The 15,944-nt window shown below is 37.8% G+C and overlaps 2 long non-coding RNA genes across 2 annotated transcripts in view, besides 1 other annotated feature; one reads left to right on the plus strand and one right to left on the minus strand.

Annotated features, from left to right (window-relative positions):
* The window catches only part of LINC02388 (long intergenic non-protein coding RNA 2388), a 215,758-nt gene that overhangs the window by 171,905 nt on the left and 27,909 nt on the right, over nucleotides 1-15,944 (minus strand). The gene's annotated exons all lie outside the window — the stretch shown is intronic.
* Nucleotides 1-15,944, plus strand: part of LOC100506869 (uncharacterized) — a 220,968-nt gene that overhangs the window by 146,162 nt on the left and 58,862 nt on the right. The window lies entirely within an intron of this gene.
* Nucleotides 3,434-3,603: an enhancer, noted in NCBI's record as "experimental_30105 CRE fragment used in MPRA reporter constructs". NCBI's record gives its function as "activates a minimal promoter by MPRAs in K562 erythroleukemia cells, with activity observed for the introgressed 12:59135164 variant allele {active_cell/tissue: K562}" and the evidence as "EXISTENCE:reporter gene assay evidence [ECO:0000049][PMID:34662402]".

A 15,944-nucleotide genomic window follows, 5' to 3' on the forward strand; every position in this document is an offset into this window, starting at 1 on the left:
CTGAACAAGTGCTTTGCCATGGTTTCTGTCTAAGAGGACAGAGAAAATCTGATTTAACTCAGAGAGGGCAGGTCTGCAGGAAGATGTGTTTGGATTAACTGTTAAAGAATAACTCCAAACTTAGAAATTACTTTAAAACATTGAGGGTTTATTTATGCAGAAGAAAACACAAAGACAAGGGTAGAACTCACAAGAGCAAAACTCAGAAATTTTCACAAGGAAAAATGATTGGTTGGTTAAACGAAATCTTTACATGTGAGTTCAGAATTGGTTGGTTTTAGTGGAGCTTCATGAAGGCCAATTATTGAACCCCAAATCTCTTTGTATGTTTTGCAAGAAGAATGCCATGAAAGAAGACCTTTAAATGAAATATTTTTTACTGTACATAAAGAGCACAAGTCAACATTGAAGCAGTCATAAAGAATTTTGTTTATTCTTTATGAAAGAATATGAAAGTGAGAGTTATAACTATTTTATCATATATCTTGTAATTCTGAGTTCCTAATTATTGTGACTAAAATTTTCATTATGTGAAAATTTTGTGATTTTATGTTTACTATTTTGATTTGTATAATTTGAAAATTTACAAAAATGATTTTATATTTATTTTACTTCTTATAGATATATTAAAAATATACTAACTTTAAAAACTCTTAAGTTTGAGAAAGCCTTCTCCAATTCACATTTAAAGCTTATTTGGGCCTGATGCTATATCCTCCATAGAAAACAGACTGCATATTTAAAATAGCCAAACTTATCCTCAGAGAGTAAAACGGTGTTGGCCAGGGGCAGGGCAAGTGGGAAATGGGAAGTAGCTGTTCAATGGGAGTTTCAATTATGTCTTAATGGAATAAAGGATAAAAATCAAACAATTATCTCAAAAGATGCAAAAAATGCATTTGGCAAAACTCAACACCCTTTCAATACAGACAAGTTACATATAGAAGGAACTTATTTCAACACAATAAAGGCTGTATTTAAAAAGCCCACAGTTAACAAGTGAATTGTGTTAATTGTGTTAATTTAGTGAAAATCTAAAATCTTTTCCTCTAAGATCTGGAACAAGGTAAGGATGTTCACTTTTGACACTTCTGTTAAATATTGTACTGGAAGTCCTAGCTAGAGCAATTAAGAAAGAAGAAATAAATAAATGTCATCTAAATAAAAACAGAAGAATAAAATTATCTCTGTTTGCAGATGACATGATCTCATATATAGAAAACCCTAAATATTTTACAAAAAAAGGTTAGAAATAATAAACAAATTCAGTAAAGTTGCAGGATACAAAATCAACATACAAAAATCAGTTACATTTCTAGACACAGCACACTATCCAAAAAGGAAATTAAGAAACTTTACCTTTTACAATAGCATCAAAAATCATAAAAATCTTAGGAATAAGCTTACTCAGTGAGGTGCACTGAAAACTTGTACATTGAAAGCTATACAGTACTGATGAAAGAAATTAAAGCAGATACAAATAAATGGAAATAAATCAATGTTCATAGATTAGAAGAATTAATGTTGTTAAAATGTTTATATTACCCAACGTGATTTGCAGATTCAGTGCAATCCCTATTAAAAGTTGAATGGCATTTTTAAAAATTTATATTTTTTATTAATTTTAATTTGAAGTTCCAGAGTATATGTGCAGGATGTGCAGGTTTGTTACATAGGTAAACATGTGCCGTGGTGGTTTGCTCCACCTATCAACCTATCACCTAGGTATTGAGCCCAGCATGCATTAGCTATTTTTCCCAATGCTCTCCCTCCCCCGACCCCACTCTCCAAGAGGTCCCAGTGTATGTTGTTCCCCTCCCTGTGCCGTCTACGTGTTCTCATTGTTCAGCTCCCACTTGTAAGTGAGAACACGTGGTGTTTGGTTTTCTGTTCCTGCATTAGCTTGCTGAGGATAATTGCTTCCAGCTCTATCCATGTGCCTGCAAAGGACATGATCTCCTTTTTATGGCTGCATAGTATTCCATGGTGTATATGTACATTTTCTTTTTTCAGTCTACCATTGATGAGCATTTGGGTTGATTCCATTTCTTTGCTATTGTGAATAGTGTGCTGCAATGAACAGATGTGTGCATGAATCTTTGTAGTAGAATTATTTATATTCCTTAGGGTATATACTCTAAGGTATATAATGATGAGGTATATACCCTAAGGTATATAATAATGAGATTGCTGGGTCAAATGGTACTTCTGGTTCTAGATCTTTGAGGAATTGCCACACTGTCTTCCACAATGGTTGAACTAATTTACATTCCCACCCACCAACAGTGTAAAAGCGTTCCTATTTCTACTCAACCTCACCAGCATCTGCTGTTTCTTGACTTTTTAATAATCGCCATTCTGACTGACATGAGATGGTATCTCATTGTGGTTTTGATTTGCATTTCTCTAATGTTCAGTGATGTTGAGCTTCTTTTCATGTTTGTTGGCCACATGAACATCTTTTGAGAAGTGTCTGTTCTTATCTTTTGCCCACTTTTTAATGAGGTTGCATGTTTTTATCTTGTAAATTTGTTTAAGTTCCTTGTAGATTCTGGATATTACACCTTTGTCAGATAGGTAGATTGCAAAAATTTTCTTCTGTTCTGTAGGTTGCCTGTTCATTCTGATGATAGTTTCTTTTGCTGCGCAGAAGCTCCTCAGTTTAATTAGATACCATTTGTCAATTTTTATTTTTGTTGCAATTGCTTTTGGCAATTTCATCATGAAATCTTTGTCTGTGCCTGTGTCGTGAATGGTATCACCTAGATTTTCTTCCAGGGTTTTTATAGCTTTGAGTTTTACCTTTAAATCTTTAATCTGTCTTGAGTTAATTTTTGTACAAGGTGTAAGGAAGGGGTCCAGTTTCAATTTTCTGCATATGGCTAGCCAGTTCTCCCAGCACCATTTATTATATGGGAATCTAAAATTTATGTGGAACCACAAAAGACCCTGAATCACCAAAGCAATTTTGAGCAAGAAGAAATCTGGAGGCCAGGCTCCATGTCTCAGGCCTATAATCCCAGCAATTTTTGAGGCTGAGATGGTATAATTGCTTGAGTCCAGGAGTTCACAACCAGCCTGGGCAAAATAATGAGGTCCTGTCTCTACAAAAATAAAACATAAAAAATGTGCTGGGTGTGGTGGTACACACCTATAGTCCCAGCTGAGGTGGGAGGATCACTTGAGCTCACTGGTGGAGGCTGCAGTGAGCTAAGATCATGCCACTCTACTCCAGCCTGGGTGACAGAGCAGGACTCTGTTTCTAAAAGAAAAAAAATCTGGAGACAGTATGTTTGCTTATATAAAAATACGTTACAAAGCTAGACTAATCAAAACAGTATGTGATACGGTTTGGTTGTGTCCCAACCCAAATCTCATCTTGAATTGTTCCCATAATCCCCATATATCACGGGAGAGACCTGGTGGGAGGTAACTTAATCATGGGTGCAGTTACCCTTATGCTGTTCTCATGATAGTGAGTGAGTTATCATGAGATCTGATGGTTTTATAAGGGACATTCCCCCCGCTTCTTCTGCACTTCTCTTTGCTGCCACCATGTGAATAAGGACATATTTGCATCCCCTTCTGCTATGATTTTAAGTTTGCTGAGGCCTTCCAGCCCTGCAGAACTGTGAGTCAATTAAACATCTTTCCTTTATAAATTATGCAGTCTTGGGTATTTCTTCACAGCAGCATGAGAACAGACTAATACAGTGAATTGCTACCACAGAGAGTGGGGCACTGCCATAAAGCTACCCAAAAATATGGAAGGGACTTTGGAACTGGGTAACAGGCAGAGGCTGGAACAGTTTGGAGAGCTCAGAAGAATACAGGAAAATGTGGGAAAGTTTGGAACATCCTAGATACCTGTTGAATTGCTTTGGCCAAAATGCTGATAGTGATATGGACAATAAAGTCTAGGCTGAGGTGATATCAGATGGAGATGAGGAACTTGTTGGAAACTGGAATAAAGGTGATTCTTGCTATGTTTTAGCAAAGAGGGGCAGCATTTTGTCCCTGCCCTAGAGATCTGTGGAACTTTGAACTTGAGAGAGATGATTTAGCATATCTGGTGGAAGAAATTTCTAAGTGGCAAAGCATTCAAGAGGGAGAAAACATGAAAGTTTGGAAAATTTGCAGACTGATGATGTGATAAAGAAAACCTGGTTTTCTGGGAAGAAATTCAAGCCGGCTACAAAAATTTGCATAAGTAACAAGGAGCCAAATGCTAATCATTAAGACAATGGGAAAAATGTTCCCAGGGTATGTCAGAGACCTTCATGGCAGCCCCTCCCATCACAGACCCGGAGGCCTAGGAGAGAAAAATGGTTTCATGGGCTGGGCTCAGGTCTCCCTGCTCTGTGCAGCCTTGGGACATGGTGCCCTGTGTCCCTGCTGTGGCTAAAAGGGGTCAATGTACAGCTCAGCCTGTTGCTTCAGAGGGTGCAAGCCACAAGCCTTGGTGGCTTACATGTGGTGTTGAGCTTGTAGGTGCACAGAAGTCAAGAACTGAGGTTTGGGAACCTCTCCCTAGATTTCAGAGGATGTATGGAAATGCCTGGACATCCGGGCAGAAGTTGCTGCAGGGGGCAGAGTCCTGATGGAGAACCTCTTCTAGGGTAGCATGGAAGGGAAATGTGGGGTCAGAGCCCCCACACAAAGACCCCACTGGGGGACTGCCTAGTAGAGCTGTGAGAAGAGGGCCACTGTCCTCCAGACCCCAGAAAGGTAGATCCACTGACAGCTTGCACCATGTGCCTGGAAAAGTTGCTGACATTCAACACTAGCCTGTGAAAGAAGCCAGGAGCAGGGCTGTACCCTGCAAGCCACAGGGACAGAGCTGCCCAAGGCCAGGGGAGCCTGCCTCTTGCATCAGTGTGCCCTGCATATGAGACACAGAGTCAAAGGAGATAATTTTGGAACTTTAAAATTTAATGACTGCCCTATTAAATTTTAGACGTGCATAGGCCCTGTAGTCCCATTGTTTTGGCCAGTTTCTGTCATTCGGAACAAGTGTGTTACCCAATGCCTGTACCCCCATTGTATCTAGGAAGTAACTAACTTGCTTTTGATTTTACAGGCTCATAGGCAGAAGGGACTTGCTTTGTCTTGGATGAGGCTTTGGACTTGGACTTTTGAGTTAATACTGAAATGAGTTAAGACTTTGGAGGACTGTTGGAAGGGCGTAATTGTGTTTTGAAATGTAAGGACAACAAGATTTGGGAGGGGCTGGGTCAGAAGGATATGGTTTTGCTGTGACCCCACCCAAATCTCATCTTGAATTATAGTTCCCATAATCCCCACATGTTGTGGGAGAGACCTGGTGGGAGACAGTTTAATCATGGGTGTGGTTGCCCTCATGCTGTTCTCGTGATAGTGAGTAAGTTATCATGAGATCTAATCATTTTATAAGGGGCTTTTCTCCCTCTTCACTCTGCCCTTCTTCTTTCTGCTGCCATGTGAAGAAGGATGTGTTTGCTTCCCCTTCTGCCATGAATGTAAGTTTTCTGAGGCCTCCCCAGTCCCACAGAACTATGAGTTAATTAAACTCTTTCCTTTACAAATTACCCTGTCTTGGGTATTTCTTCATAGCAGCATGAGAATGGATTAATACAGTATGGTACTGGCATAAAAACAGACATATAGACCAATGAAACAGAATAAAGAGCCCAGGAATAAATCCATTCATATATAATCAAACCTTGTATATTGTTGGTGGGTGTGTAAGTTTGTGCAGCTCTTATGGAGGGCAGTATGGAACTTCCTCAAAAAATTAAAAGTGAAACTGCAATATGATCCAGGCATCCCATTTTTAGGTGTATATCCAAAGGCATCAAAATCAGAATCTCAAAGAGATATCTGCACTTCCATGTTCACCTTCATGTATCATCTTCATTCATCTGCACCTTCATGCAGCATTATTCATAATAATGAAAGCATAGTAGCAATGTAAATATTCATCAGTGGATGAAATGATAAAGAAAACATGGTGTATACATACAATGAAATATTATTCAGTCTTAAGAAAAGGGAAATTCTGCCATTTGCTACAACATGGTGCACCTGGAAGAATTATACTAACTAAAATAAGCCAGATACAGAAGGACAAATACCACATGATACCACTTATATCAAGAATCAAAAATAGACAAACTCATAGAAGCAGAGAGCAGGATGGTGATTACCAAGGCTTGAGAGAAGATGAAATGGGGGGATTAGTCAAAGTGTGCAAGATTTCAGTTATGCAAGTCCTAGAGATCTCCTGCCCAGCATAGTGCCTATAGTTAACAATGCTGTATTGTACACATAAAAATTTGCTAAGAGGGTAGATCTTAAGTGTGCACACACATGAATAATAATAATAATTAACAAAAAGGGTGGGAGGAAAATTTTGGAGGTTAGGGATATGTTTATGGCATATATCGTTGGGATAATGTCATGGGTGTATATGTATCTGCAAACTCATCAAGTTGTGTACATTAACTATGTACACGTTTCTGAATGTTAATCATGCCTAAAGTGGTTTAAGAAAAAGAAGTTCATAAGAGCAAGTTTACAATAAAACATTTTAACTCTTAAATTTTATTTCGCTTAAAAATAGTGCATTAAACGAGTCGCAATAGCATTTTAAACATCTTGACGTGAATAATAATAGATACTATGAAATTAATTTCCAATTGCTTTTAATCCTAAGACACTACTGTTGCCTTAATTACTGTGGTGGTCATAAAGATGAGAAGAGAAAAAAATGCCAAAGGCCCATGGATTGTCATAGAGAGAAGTCTTGGTCCCTTTCATGTGTGTGTTCTATTAGGCTTATTGCCTACAAAGCTCATTCGAATGTCTTTTCACAGTGCTTTGAGTTGTATTGGAATTATTTTCTCTACCCTTTTTGTTAAAGAAAAACAAAACAAAAATATAAATGATTTTGGTCAAAGTCTGACTGCATGTCTTCCTAATATTGTAGCAAATCATCTAGCAACTAACAGCCTTGTGCCTAGCACAGGGTAGGTACTCAATAAATATTTGTTGCATAAATTCAACAATAAAATTTTATTCATGGAGCGAGATCAGTATTTACTGTGACATCCTTAAGTTTCAAAGGTTAGACCAAGAACATTGTTGCTTGAAACAAAAAATATTCGTTTCATGTTTGCAAATATTTTGATGATACTTTTCTGCTTTGTTGGAAGATGCAATTGAGTCCTTGAGATTAACTTGCCTCGTGTCCAAAAGATAAAACCTAGTGTCTGAAAATGTCAGTTACTCAATGTCATTTACGTCTTCATTCAAACATTTTGTGACATTAGAAACTTTTTTTCATCTGTGAGGATAAAATCTGAAAAATCAGGTGGAATGAAAAGTCATTCCAAAGTTTTAATGAGACATATCAAGGGTGAATTATTTCATTTCTTCTATTCACTTTTATTCCTGTTAACATGCAAGTAATTTTGCAGGTATTCTGTGTTTTCTTTGATGCAAGTTGGGACTGAGTTTGCATCTGGGGTGGTAGCCCTAGAATGCTGGGGTGCATTCTGGGAACAGCTGCGTTAAGCACAGGTACGTGGGGACAGTTCTGGTTCTACTTCCCTGCTGGGCTATGTCACCTGTGACAAACGCTCCTGTGGGCAAGTCTTCTTTGCTACTTGTCCCTGCAACTGCCCCAACAAAGGGCTGCTCTCCATCTCCCATCCCTCCTCTGCCAGATGTGGCTGCTTCAGCCCTTTGCCAACCCAGGGCTTCTTTTAGCCCTAATCAGAGTACCTGGAGTTCACAGCTTCTGATTTGGAGGAGATCTCATGTGACACTAATCATTGCTGAAACCACCATGTCTGCTTCCAATACTTTATTCTTCAAAAGCAAAGTGAGAGAGAAAAAAAGAGAAAAGGAAAGGGAGGGAGATGAAAGAAAGGAAGAAGGAGAAGAAAGAGTGAGATTCGTCTCTTCACTTTCTAGCTAAAGCAGAGAAACAGCATAAGCTCCATCAAACCTAGTGAAAAACAACAGGAGTGACTCACTAAATCTCAGTGTGCTTAACTTTTGTACAGGGAGAATTCATCATGGGGGAAGGATTACTCTAGGTCTTTGTGATTGCTATGGCTCTAACACAATGGTTCCCACATAGCAATTGTCAAATATTTGTGGATTAGCCAGCAGGCAGGTAGAGCAGCTCTCCTCCAAATCAGCATTCATAAGAATTGCAGTTCCATTTGCACTTCTCATGTTTACTAAATACACATTTCAATAGAGTATTGTACTCATAGCTGATTTTATAGTGTGGTTTTCAGACAATTTTAATCTTTTTTGATTCAGGATACTAAAATGCATACCCAGAAAGCAATGTTGGAAAATATGGGAGATAAATTCGTGAGTATGAAGTGAGAGGAGGGGAAGGTGGGTGCACCTGGAAAATACTGTTGGATCTCATTGCAAGAAGAAGTCTAATTCTAGCTGTCAGTGTCATGTTCATGTTCACCCATCACCAATTTCAATAGCTTAGAAAAATTAAGCCTCTTTAAATGAGCAGTCTGAAAAAATCACTTTGAAAGGAAATGGCAAAAATTTTTGATAAACTTTTTTTGTCATATGAAAGTTTGATTCTCCTATGTAAATTCTCAAAGGCAGGTGGTAGTTTATCAAAATGCAGGAGTTAATTTATATTGTCCAAGATAATCTGCTTTATCATTTCTTTATCTAAAGGAAAGGATAGTGATTTAAGTTTTGCTTTTAAGTCATCAGTGTTGGCAAAAGCCTTGTAAGATACAGATCTAACCCCTTTTCTCCTTGCTTCCACCCCACACACATATCCCCAGGTTCTGCCAAATTCTTTTGGCAGAAGCAGTCTGGAAACTCTATCTAGAAATTCAATTCTAAGGTCTAAAGCATTCCAACTAACTAGAACACACACACACACACACACACACACACACACACACACACACAGAGTCTAAATTAGAGGTCTGCATTTGTATCTAAAGTGTTTTAAGTGTTAGAAAAATGGAAAAATACTGCTCTTTCTACATCTCTGAAGTTATCAAAGAATTAATTCTTGCAGTTTCCTTGATTACTTGAGAACACTGTCCCTGCCTTAGGGTTCTGTTCGATAGTGACTCATTCATTCATTCACTCATTCATTGCCTTGGTCTTTTCTCTCAGTTCTTCCAGAAAGCAGAGACCAAGATAAGAATTTATGTGCAGAAATGTTGTTTGGAAAGTCAGTTCAGGAAACAGAACAGGAAGACCAGGAAGGAGGCAAAGCCAATACGAGAGTGTCTTCTCAGACGTTTCACCACTGTGGGAAACTGGACTCAATCCCACAGGGTCCTTCTGATGAGCCACATAGAGTGCACCCCAGAATTGTCCACTGGAGAAAGGGATCACTTATTTACCAGCTCCGTCTTTCATTGGTCCAGGGCTGTCCTTTTGAGTACTGACTGTCCTGTGCTTTCATATTGTTCATAAGTGAATAGAAGACAGAGTCCTGCATCACAGTATTATAGAAGCCCAGAGGCTGATATCAAGAGACACATGATATAACAGAAGCAAGTTGCTGCCAGGTTATACCTGTGCAAAAATGGCTGCCACAGAAATGGCCAGAGTAAATGGTGAGCTGACAGATGTGCAATACATTCATTTAGTATCTATTGAGAGTGACACTACAAAGAAACTATGGGGAAACTAAACACAAGTAGATCATTCCAATGATAAGTAATGTGTTAGGGACACAACAGGGATAAGAGAGGAAACAACCTTCGGCATACGATTGTGTCTGCCATGTATGCTCTTGGACCTTGGCTGTAAATTACCAGGGTAATGATGGAATGGAATTAGAGAGGAACACAAACTAGTGGGAAGAATGTTTGCTGACAGCAAATAGAGTACCCAGTGGAGAAGCCTGGAATAGATCTGCAAAGAGGGATGGTGAGACCACAGCAGCAGGGCTGGGTTTGAATCACTGATGGGAGTCAGGAGAGGAAATTAGAAGCAGTCCACATTTATAGGAGATATTAAAGAAAAACATGGGGAAAAGGGATTTTAAGAGATTCTGCTGTATATGAATTGAAATCACATTTGGTGTTTTCAAGAAACCATGGTAGAGATACCATTTGGGTTTTTTTTTTCAATTTTAATTTCACAACTTTTTTTGGAGTGATTTTTTTATTATACTTTAAGTTCTGGGGTTCATGTGCACAACGTGCAGGTTTGTTACATAGGCATACATGTGCCATGTTGGTTTGCTGCACCCATCAACTCGTCGTTTACATTAAGTATTTATCCTAATGCTATCCCTCCCCCAGCCCCCACCCCCTGACAGGCCCCTCCCTGTGTCCATGTGTTCTCATTGTTCAACTCCCACTTATGAGTGAGAACATGCAGTGTTTGGTTTTCTGTTCCTGTGTATGTTTGCTGAGAATGATGGTTTCCAGCTTCATCCATGTCCCTGCAAAGGACATGAACTCATCCTTTTTTATGGCTCAGAGTATTCCATGGTGTATATGTGCCATATTTTCTTTATCCAGTCTATTATTGGTGGGCATTTGGGTTGGTTCCAAGTCTTTGCTGTTGTGAATAGTGCCACAATAAACATACATGTGCAAGTGTCTTTATAGTAGCATGATTTATAATCCTCTGGGTATATACACAGTAATGGGATTGCTGGGTCAAATGGTATTTCTAGTTCTAGATTCTTGAGGAATCGCCACACTGTCTTCCACAATGGTTGAACTAATTTACACTCCCACCAACCGTGTAAAAGCGTTCCTATTTCTCCATATCCTCTCCAGCATGTTTCCTGACTTTTTAAGGATCGCCATTCTAACTGGTGTGAGATGGTATCTCATTGTAGTTTTGATTTGCATTTCTCTAATGACCAGTGATGATGAGCATTTTTTCTATGCCTGTTGGCTGCATAAATGTCTTCTTTTGAGAAGTGTCTGTTCATATTCTTTGCCCACTTTTTGATGGGGTTGTTTGTTTTTTTCTTGTAAATTTGTTTAAGTTCTTTGTAGATTCTGGATATTAGCCCTTTGTCAGATGGGTAGATTGCAAAAATTTTCTCCCATTCCATAGGTTGCCTGTTTACTCTGCTGATAGTTTCTTTTGCTCTGCAGAAGCTTTTTTGTATAAATTTCTTTTTCCTATAATAACGCTGTACAAGGAAGAGTCTTGAATTAAGGATAGAAAGAATGGGTGTGAAATAATTAGACTAGACCTTAAGTCACCATTGTCATATTCTACATTTGTCTCCTTTAAAAGTATTGTATTGACAACTGCAGTGGATGCTGTGCTGTGCTGTCCAAATCCTCCTCTAGAAATGGAGCTTTTATTCCCCTAGGTGCCTGGATTGCTGTCAGAAGGTGGACCTCAGCTCTCAGCTCCTTCTAGGGACTGGCTTGGCTCAGGGAGCCACCTCACACAGTCACACATCATGGTCACAATGGCCTACATCCAGTGATTTTCAATGTGGGGTATAAAGTCCCAGGCCCATCACCCAACTAGGAACAATTCTCAAGGGTCATCCAGCTTCCAAACTCTGTAGGATTGGCTGAGTCCTCAGAGGAGATGGCATCACAACTCAACTTCTTCCACTGTTCATAACATCATAATTTGCTATTTGTCATACTAATGCATAAAATACATATTAATTTTACCTTAAAAATATTTTTTGATATTCTGCCTCAATGTGCTAAAATAAATGTTCATTTTTCGTAAAAGAAATAAAACTTTCTTCCTGTCTATCTTCCTTTCTATTTAGAATCACTTCATAGCTGAATGGATCTTCATTTGCTTTCAAAAGGAGGCCCTACTTCAACCAGTCTTCCACCTCACTGCCTCACATGCAGGCCACGCTCACCGCTGCTTTCAAACTCTTGTCCACTCAGTGTCTTTCCTTCAACCCAAATTTCATTCTCAGTTTATTGAAATTCTGTTCATTCTTTATGGCTCACTTCATTTTCATCCCCCTTTGTAATTCCTTTTCTGACATCTATTTTCTTTGCTCTTTCTCTTCTCTGAAATTATAAGTAGCCATTTCCTATGGTGTGCAATAACACTTCCTCAACGTGTTTTTGGATTTTACTTTCTTATGTGTATATCGGCCTATTCAAATAGATGGCAAAGTCTTAGAGCAGAAGCCAAGGTGGGTTCTTCTTTGTACTCACTATGGTATGCCACCATAGTACTGGGTAGTAACTATCATCTATCATTTATTAAGCATTTAGTTTTTGCCAGATACAGTGCTTAGCACTTTCCACATATTAACCCATTTAATTTTTACAAATACCTAGTGAGACTTATGCTACTATTATCCTTGTTTGGCAGTTGAGAAAACTGAGTCTTAGAGAGATAAAGAAATTGTTTAAGATGACAGAGATGGAAATGGCAGAGATTGGTCTATCTCACTGCCAAGCCATAGTTCTGAATTACTCTACCACATGCTCCCTATGCATTCAACAAGGTGTCATGAATCAACTGATCTAAACCTAAATCACAAAGCATGGGATTTGTTTGTGAGGGTCTAAAGAATAAGATAAACCTTTAGTCCCATGGGGTATATCATTTATTTTTTCAATGTTTAGTAGCACCAGTGAGAAATCAGCTGTGAACAGCATAATAGACTTCTTGCTATTGCTTCTTTGTACTAAAGTTGGCATCAAGTCATTCATTTACTCCCCAGATGTAATTTGGCATCACTACGTAGAGTTTAGTCATCATGGAGACATCAAAATATTAGTCATGTCCCCCAAGAAGCTCACATTATAAATAAAGACACGATGGAGCTCACAGACATCTGTGCGCTGCAGAGCTAAGATTTCCTAGGAGAGACATGATACTGAAATCATGACTCATGCATTTAGAAATCACAAATGTAATTACATTCATCAGCACTCTTTCACATTTGCTGTTTTTGAGTATCAAACAGAGCTTACCAGAGAAGAAAATACAACAATCTGAAAAGAGAATTCAGAAACACATCATGCTCAAATTATCATACTTCAGTGGATCACATGTGATCATGGGATTTGTGTCACTTCAGCCTATAAAACAGATCTTGCCCAGCTCTAAAATATAGCTTAAAGTAGCCATGGCCAGAAAAGATCGAGACCTCCATTTTACCATAAACATTTATGTGAATTTGGTTCTCTCTGCATATTTTATTTTTAAAAAATTTAAATTATTACCAAAACCAAATAAATAGTCCCTAAAGTGAAATCATGCTCATGTCATTGTCTAATGGGTAATTTATTGTACTAAAGGTTTGGAGGGGAAAAACAGCGACAACGACAACTAAAGAATTGAAGACAGCTCATGTAGCTTATCAGGTTCAATGTCCATGCAAATATTCTCTTACCATGATGTCACAATATTTTTAAATACATATAGATATAAGTAGCAACATGCTTTCTGGTTTCTAAAACAATTTTTCTTCTTGTTATCCTAGGGTTTCACAAATAAGTGGTAAGATACAATACATAGGACTACTCTGTGGAACTTTTGAAAATTGTGTCTGTTTGCTAGAAGGTCACATGTCTTGTCCAAATCAAGAATTGAAAGAATATCTGGTCTACTGATCCATCTTTTGCTATATCGGGGAAATATTCTTTAAATAACTACTTTAGTGAAGAAAGATGTCTGATATTTTTGTCCTTCATTTTAACTCTAACACTGTAATTTTCATCACAAGTAAATGAATTGAGAATTTCAAATAACTTATAGCTTCCACAATCAAGTCTTTTCAACTGACTCACTTGTATCATTTACCTCACCATGATCCTTTCATTACTGTGAAAACATTTTCAATTTTGCCTTCCAGTTGTTGATTGAGAGTGTTACTTCTTGGGGGAAAAATGCCACATAATACAACTTTGTGAACTAATCTTTATCATTAGCATAAGCAATATATTCACACATCCAGATTTTTGGCCCTTTTCTTGTTGTCATATCATGGAGAAGACTAGGATAGTTCTCTCAGCTAATGTAGTAAACATCTCTACTCTGGAGTAAACTTCCAAAATCATTTCTGTTTTAGTTTACATTTATCACAGGAGATATAGACAACTGTTTGATTGTTTTATGTTACCTTCTTCCCATTAATTTACCATTTACCAACCTATTTAATGCAAGAGCTCAGACTTGGCTGATGCAAATCAATGACTTTTTAAAAACTTTGTCCCTCTGGTGTTTTGTGTGTAATGGAGTAGGGGTATTAGGATACTTCCATATTGCAGAATCAAAAACTATATTACCTTTCTAATCAAATAAAAGAAAAGTGTACTTTTAGAATAAAAAATAGTTAACTTTTTTTAAAGAACGAAAGAAAAAATGCATACTGGCACCCTATTTAATGTTTATCCCCAACAGAATTGCCTTCACAGACAGGTATTTTGATGCTTCGAGACAGTCTTGTTACTGGAAGCTGACTCTACCAAAAAGGCATGTATTTGACATTATGGAAGACTCACCCAGATTAAAAAGACTAAAGAATCAGATTTGGAGAAGTTCCAAAAGGCCTTGATAGCAGCAATTGATAAACTGATTAGCACTCTCAGACACTGCAGTGAATTAGCTCTAACCATTTTTTGGTTGTGTTATCACCATGCATGCTTCAGAGAGGGAGAGTCTAATTGGTTTATCTTAGGTTAACTTGCGTTCACCCCCTTGATGAGGCAGAGGGTAAAAACTTTCCCCAAACTTGTATTTTGTCTTTCTTCCTTTCTAAAACAGAACTCCAGAGATTTAGCTGTATACAGGCTCTGCACCTAGAGACTTTATTTCCTTTGCAACCAGGTGTGAGCATGTGACTTAGTTCTAGTCAATAGGATGTGAACAAAAAAATGTTCACAACTGTCAGGTTCTCATAAAGATAAAGTCACCTTCCCAGGCCTTGTTTTTCTCTGTCCCACATACAGAAACATGAACATGTGGAACAGGTTAGCGGTGTCCAGTGTTGTTACAGTAAGCGAAACAGTAGCCTGGGGATGGCGGAGCAACAATATGGAAGGATCAGGATCCTAGAATGACTTTCTGTAGCAAAGCTGATCTGCCAACTTGAAATGGCAAGTATTATGAGAGAGAGAAATGAACTCCTACCTCATTTACTTTGAAGTTTCTTTGTTATATCTGGTTACCTTAACTACTATACCCCACATAAGGAGGATAAGGACACCAGATTTGCTGACTGTTCTTAAAAGGAGACAATCATTTCTTCAAAAGAATTAGAAACCAAGAACCACTCCCTAAAATGGAATTCATTTTGGGCAACTGAAACAATGAATCCAGTACAGCTTTCACAATATATAATAAATATATTGTGCAGCTTTCATAGAAATAGGCAAGTCAAACCGATTACTGTGTTTGCCTGAAGATTATTTTGAGGACTTTATCCATGACATCACTCACTTTTCCCTAAAGTGACCCTTACAACATTTTGTTTACAATGAAATGCTCAGAGAAGTTTTTATTCCCCTGAGAAAGTGATCTGATTTTGATTTTGACCAAAAAACTACGTGCATGAAAATGTTTCCCTGTTCATTCTGTACCAAGAAATTTAGAGTTGAATTTACAGTTCAGGTACCTCTTATACTGCTTCTTATGGTATGCAAAGTAGTGTCCTTTTTAAGTTTTAGCCTTGGATTCTTAACCTAAGTTTTATTATTCTGGATTTTGACTTTTAAACTTTTATATTTTAGCATTTTATTTTATATGCTTTTATTGCCCCCAGATTCAACTACTAAAAAAGATTGGTGGACTATAAATAAATGAGAAAATAATTCAAAAAACAGAATATTCATAATTTTAAAAGATATACATTCAACTTTTTCTAATTTTTCAGGGAACTTATGTATATTTTATTAATCACTACCAAGTTCCCATTCTCTTTCCGAAGTTTCTATATGTTTTCTTGATTCTCTTCTCCCTCAATCTTTAATTACAGTCATTTAGCC

This window comes from Homo sapiens, chromosome 12 (genome assembly GCF_000001405.40).
Source record: "Homo sapiens chromosome 12, GRCh38.p14 Primary Assembly".
NCBI classification, from domain to species: domain Eukaryota; kingdom Metazoa; phylum Chordata; class Mammalia; order Primates; family Hominidae; genus Homo; species Homo sapiens.